Source organism: Homo sapiens, chromosome 2 (genome assembly GCF_000001405.40).
Source record: "Homo sapiens chromosome 2, GRCh38.p14 Primary Assembly".
Classification (NCBI taxonomy): domain Eukaryota; kingdom Metazoa; phylum Chordata; class Mammalia; order Primates; family Hominidae; genus Homo; species Homo sapiens.
The window spans coordinates 186,339,557-186,346,163 of record NC_000002.12 but is presented as its reverse complement, the minus strand read 5'-3'; positions in this window follow the sequence as shown (position 1 = coordinate 186,346,163).

Below are 6,607 nucleotides of genomic sequence, written 5' to 3'. Positions count from 1 at the left end.
AGGAAGGGGGATATTCAAGCATTAGCTCTTTATATTACAGCACCGTGACTCTGTTAAGAACACTGTTTTAACCAAAGATTCAGGAAGAAATTTTAACTGCTATCAATAAAACATGTGTAATGTCTGTTTTAGTACATCTTAAAAAATTCACCTAGGCCCGTTGTTCTCAAACTTTAATTTGCATATCAGTCAGTACAAAGCTGCTTACGATTCAGATTCTTAGGCTCCTTTTGAAGAACCTGTTTCACTTCTGGGATTGGCTGCAGAAACTGCATTTTAACCTAACACCCCATGAAATTCTGATGTTGATGAGTGATGAAGGACTAGAAGGCATTTAGGTTGGCACATTCTTTCTTTGAGTCCTACCAGAATTTCGTCGGGACAGTTATTCTTAACAAAATAAAAGTAATTACTGCACCATAAAATAATATCAATTTAGAGTTTAATGCTGTCTCTCCCATTGCTATTAAATCTTGGTGTTGTGATTGCTTGGCCTAACTTTTTTGTTTGTTTGTTTTTTGAAATGGAGTTTTGCTCTTGTTGCCCAGGCCGGAGTGCAATGGCACGATCTTGGCTCACTGCAACCTCCGCCTCCTGGGTTCAAGCGATTTTCCTTCCTCAGCCTCCTGAGTAGCTGGGATTATAGGCACCTGCCACCATGCCCAGCTAATTTTTTGTATTTTTAGTAGAGACAGGGTTTCACTATGTTGGCCAGGCTGGTCTCGAGCTCTTGACCTCAGGTGACCCATCCATCTCGGCCTTCCAAAGTGCTGGGATTACAGGCCTGAGCCACCACGCCCAGCCTGCTTGGCCTAACTTTGATGCTGTGATGTTTGAGTCATTTTGCTATTCCTATTGTTTGAATGAGGGGTGAAGGATCTGTCCTTGCTGCTTAGAAACAAGAATCAACTGTGATGAACTTAAGCAAGAAAATAATTCTACTTGAAATTTTTTTCCAGGCTCACAGAACAGTTGGTTGGAAAAGAAATGGGACTTAAGATGGTTGTGCATGGGGCTGGGGGAATCTGGCAGGAAGAGCCGCCTCTGAGGTTATGCTGCAGGAAGAGTTTGGGTCACATCTTGCTGTCACTGGCCATGCCAGGGACAAGTCCATCACAGCAAACATCACTGTCTCACTTGCTCAAGAGTCTAATTCTGGGGGAGAGTATTTACTCTTCATTGCCTTTCCCACTTGTGGCTGGTAATAAGACAGGGATAGAAACCCTAAAAGCAGATTTCATAGACTGTTTTGAATTTTTACATAAGGCAGCAGAGACTTTGCTGGTAATAAGACAGGGAGAGAAATCCTAAAAGCAGATTTCATAGACTGTTTTGAATTTTTACATAAGGCAGCAGAGACTTCCTGATCTCTGTTTTTTTATTTCCTGTAGTGATACTGATGAGACAGCATAGATATCAATAATATAATTTATTATTCACATTGATTTGTACAAAGTCAGTAGAAAAAGGTCATCTGTACTCAGAAACCCAACTTTTAATATTCTTTTTTTTTTTTTTTTCCAGAAAGAGCCTTGCTGTGTTGTCCAGGCTGGTGTACAGTGGCACAATCTCAGCTCACTGCAACCTCCACCTCCTGGGTTCAAACCATTCTCCTGCCTCAGCCTCCCAAGCGGCTGGGATTACAGGCGCCCGCCACCATGCCCAGCTAATTTTTGTACTTTTAGTAGAGACAGGGTTTCACCATGTTGATCAGGCTGGTCTCAAACTCCTGACCTCAAGTGATCTGCCCACCTCGGCCTCCCAAAGTGTTGGGATTTCAGGCGTGAGGCACCGCACCTGGCCAACTTTTAATATTCTTCATGATATCATTCAAAATTTGGCTCTTATAAAGTCTATATTAGTGCAAGTTTTTTTTCATTCTATTCCATATAATACTCATGTTATCTTAATATTCATATAATGTTTAAAATGACCTGCTTTCAAAGAAAATGAATACTTTGCTAAACGTGACATTTTTATCCTGTTCTTTCATATACTCTTTAGGATAGTATTAAATATACTTACCCTACTTTAAGAAGCATGAGCTTATGGTATCTACTCAAAATGGCCACTTTTTTTCTCTATTCATTCATTATGTATGAACAAACCAACCAACTGTGGAATAGGGTATTTAGCTGACATAAAATTAGTTAGCTATTTGTTAAGTAGAAAGCCCCATTTTAATTTTAAACCTTGCGAAAGTTGCTTTTGAAATATTTTCTTGACTTACAAAATATTGGATGCATAAAGTAATTGAATATTTTTTTGCTTGATTGAAACTGAAGTTCCAGACTGGGCGTGGTGTTAATGGCTCATGCTCCCAGCACTTTGGGGGGCCAAGGCAGGTGGATCACTTGAGCTCAGGAGTTCGAGACCAGCCTGGGCAACATGGTGAAACCCTGTCTCTATAAAAAATATAAAAATTAGCTGGGCACAGTGGCACATGACTTTAATCCCAGCTACTTGGGAGGCTGAGGTGGGAGGATCACTTGAGCCTGGGAGGCGTAGGTTGCAGTGAGCTGATATCACGCCACTGCACTCCAGCCTGGGCTACAGGATGAGTCCCTGTCTCAAAAAAAAACAAAAAACAAAAAACAAAAAACCCCAAACACCAAAAAAACCCGAAAACCAAAACAAGAAAACAAAAAGCAAACCAGAAAAAAAAAAACCCATGAAAACTGAAGTCCCTTAAGATCTCCATTTTATTTTATTCAGAAAAGAAAGTAAGCACTCCCTAAGAACTTCTACTTATAATTCAATGTCTAGAGCTATGTCATGTGCATGTGGCCACACATAGGTGCAAGGTGGGCTGGAAATTTTATTATTTTGAATAGATGTTGATTGAGCCAGTGTAGAGCATCTTCCATACTGATAATGATGGAGGACATATGCACAAGAGAGAGTGAATAGGTGAAAGAGAGAGAGACAGGGACTAGCTAAAGGATAAAGAAACACATGGGGAGCGGAAATAAGTGAAACAGGCAGTAACATTTTGGATAATTTATCAGGAGAGAAATTTTCAACAGGAATCACATGGGACTGTGCAGAAGGGAATTTAGAACTACAACATAAAAAATAGTCTTTGACTGAGACTAGAAAGTATTAGTTTATCTTCCTTTTTAACTAATGTTTTAAAAATACTAAAATCAGATGGAAATTGTGTTATAATAGAATTTTGATTATGTAGCTGCAATTATGTTTTGGATCTACACGGACCTCTTTATGCCAAGTATGTTTGCTATGATAGATAGGTAATGATTTATCAAACAATTTAACACATGGTATCTAAAATGGAATATGAGAAAAAAAGCAAAATTTAAAATGAATGCTTTAAGAAGACTCTATAAAGGTGCATTTCAAAGATATTTTGTCCAATTAGATGTAGGTTTTCTCTCTAATTTGAAGAATCAATAAAAGAAAATGCATTATGGGAGGGTTTATGGAAAAAAAGCAACATACAACTTTGTGCTCATTAGAACAATAATAAAAAAGTGGACCTACAACAAAACATTGAAAAATATTTTATATCTTTGTATGTTTAGAGTTAAAAACAAAATGTTTAAGATAGGCATGCATCAATATTTATTTACCTTTTTAACTGACATTTTGCTAACTTATCAGCTATAAGTATTGATAATGTTGGATAAGAAGGTATTAGATGCTGGCAGGTGCAACTGGATATAATACAGTAGTTTCAATGAGATGTTGAAGTAAGCCAGCATGTCACTCCAAAATGCCTCCTTGAGATATAAGTTATTTTTGAGCTAAAGGCAATAAGAAACTGCAAATTGAGAGGAAGCTATCTCTACCCTCTTCTCTTTCTGCCTAAAGATAGGAAAATAAATTCTTTATAGATGACAACTCTAGACTCATCAGCCCAGAGATGACACCAGAGGAATCTGCAAACAAACTTTACTCCATTAGTTTCATCCCCAATATTTACCTTCCCACAGTTGCGTGCCCTTGGAAGTTTAAAACTGTTTTTCTTTGTCTGTCATTCCTTTACAAGTGTATTGTTCTTTATTGAAGATGTTCTATAAGTGGAGCTAAGTCATCTTTTTGAGGTATTTCCATTGAGATTTCTCCAGTGTGGTGTGTGTGGCATGCATTAATACACTTGTTTGTTTGTTTGTCTGTCATTAATCTGTCTTGTATTAAAGGAGTCTGTCCAAACCTAAGAACTATGATGAATAAAGGTAAAGTTTCTACTCCTCTAGGGTTGATACTGTGTTTGAAAAATAAGAATGCATTTGGCCTTTACACACACACACATTTTCAATGCTTTCTTATGTTGTTTCAAATATACAACAAGCTGAAAGAATTCTAGAGTTAATGCTAGTATACACAATACCTAGATTATACCATTTTCCTTTGAATACTGTTGATCATATATTACATTCATCCCTCTATCACCAATCCACCTTTTTTGATGTGTTTTGAAGCACAGTCATGTGTCACTTAATGATAAAGAGAAGTTCTAATAAACATGTCATTAGGCAATTTCGTCATTGTGTGAACATCACAGAGAGTATTTACACAAAGCTAGGTGGTATAGCCTACTATACATGTAGGCTATATTGTCTGGCCTATTACTCCTAGGCTACAAACCTGTACAGCATGTTACTGTACTGAATACCGCAGGCAATTGTAACAGAATGGTAAGTATTTGGGTAGCTAAACACAGAAAAGATACAATGAAACTATGATATTATAATCTTATAGGATAACTGGTATATGCAGACTGTCATTGACAGAAATGCCATTATGCAATGCATGACTATATATTACAGACATCAGTATGCTTCCTCATAAGCACTTTAGCATGCATATAACTAACTACAGTTCAATATTTTAAATATTTTTTCCTCCTAGAGGTAAAATGTATATTAACGAAATGAATAAAACTTAAAACTTAAATTATGTTTTCTGAGCTTGAGAAATGCATAAGACTATGTAAACCAAATTTCTATCAAGATATACACCATTAACTTTACTCTAGAATATTTTTAAGGTCTATTCCCAGTCAATCCCTGCACCTTCTTCCCCACCCAAGAGGCAATCGCTATTACAATTTTTTTTCATTATAGATTAATTTGCCTTTTATAGAGCTTCACATAAATAGAATAATATATTCTGTACTCTTTTGAATAAGGCTTCTTCTACTCAGCATAATGTTTTGGAAATCCATCTATGTTGTGTGTATCAGTAATTTCTTCCTGATATTTCTATTTTCTGTTATATGGATACACCACATTTTGCTTATTCATTCTTCTTTGTATGAACACTTAGGCTGTTTGCAGTAGGGCTATTGTTAATGAAGCTATAATGAACATTCTTGTACAAGTCTTTGAACATCTTTTCATTTCTCTTGAATAAATTCCAATGAGTAGAATAGCTGGGTCATAGAATGGGTATACATTTAGTTTTCTAAGAAACTGTCAGATGTTTTTCAAAAGAGACTGTGCCACATTGCATGCCAACCAACAGTTTAAGAGAGTTCTGGATGTTATATATTCTTTTCAAAATTTTGTGTTGCCAGTTTTTAAAATTTTGCCATTATGGAGGATCTTTAGAATATAATTTTTTGTAAAAAGATTTTTTGTTCCTTGGCATCCCACCCATTACTTGCATAGACAACTTTGATATGCCTAGATCACTAGAATACTGTACCCTCAATGGAGAATTTTGAAGAAAATGCTTGCTCATTAGGGCCCTAAATTGGGAAGAGACAACCAGACTGTAGTACCCCTACTGTAATATATCTTTGGCTGCAGGCTTTCTGGAAAGAACATAGCATTTAGGTTATGAGATATATCCATTTTATACTCTGATAGTCACCTTGCTTGTGTGACATTTTATCCTATAAGTCTATAAACCGTATGTTTGATTATCATTAAATAATCATGTACATTCTTCTGAAACCATTCCACAGATAACAGCTATCAAATGCTATTTTATCATGAGGTCCAGTTATGATATTTTATATGGAGATTAGATCATTTGCATGCCTTCTTTTATTCCCAGGAGAGTCACATTTCTTTTTCACTAAATAAGGAGGGGAAGAAATCACAGTCCCATTGCTTTAATTTCTTTCTCTCCAATAGATTAAGTTTAATACCTAACATCTAGTTTATATTATTATGTTAAATGTCCAGAAATGGTAAGCTTTTAAGACAATGTAAGTAAGTGGCTGCCTGCAGTTGGGGATGAGAACAAGGATTAACTGTCCGTGGGCATGAGATAATATGAGAGGAATGAAATGTTCTAAAAGTGATTCATAAAGATGGAACAACCACTTGGTAAAGTTACTAAAAACCACTAAATTGTATACTTGAAATTGGTGGATTTTACCACATGTACCACATACCTTTAGAAAGTTATTTAACTATTCCAAAAAAATTGAGTAGGATAGACTCCTTCCTAATTCATTCTGAGGCCAGCAATATCCTGATACCAAAACCTGGCAAAGATACAACAAAAAAAGAAAACTTCAGGACAAAATCCAGGATGAACATAGATGCAAAAACGCTCAACCAAAATACTAGCAAATCAATTCCAGCAGCACATCAAAAAGCTGATCCGCCATGATCACATAGGCCTTATCCCT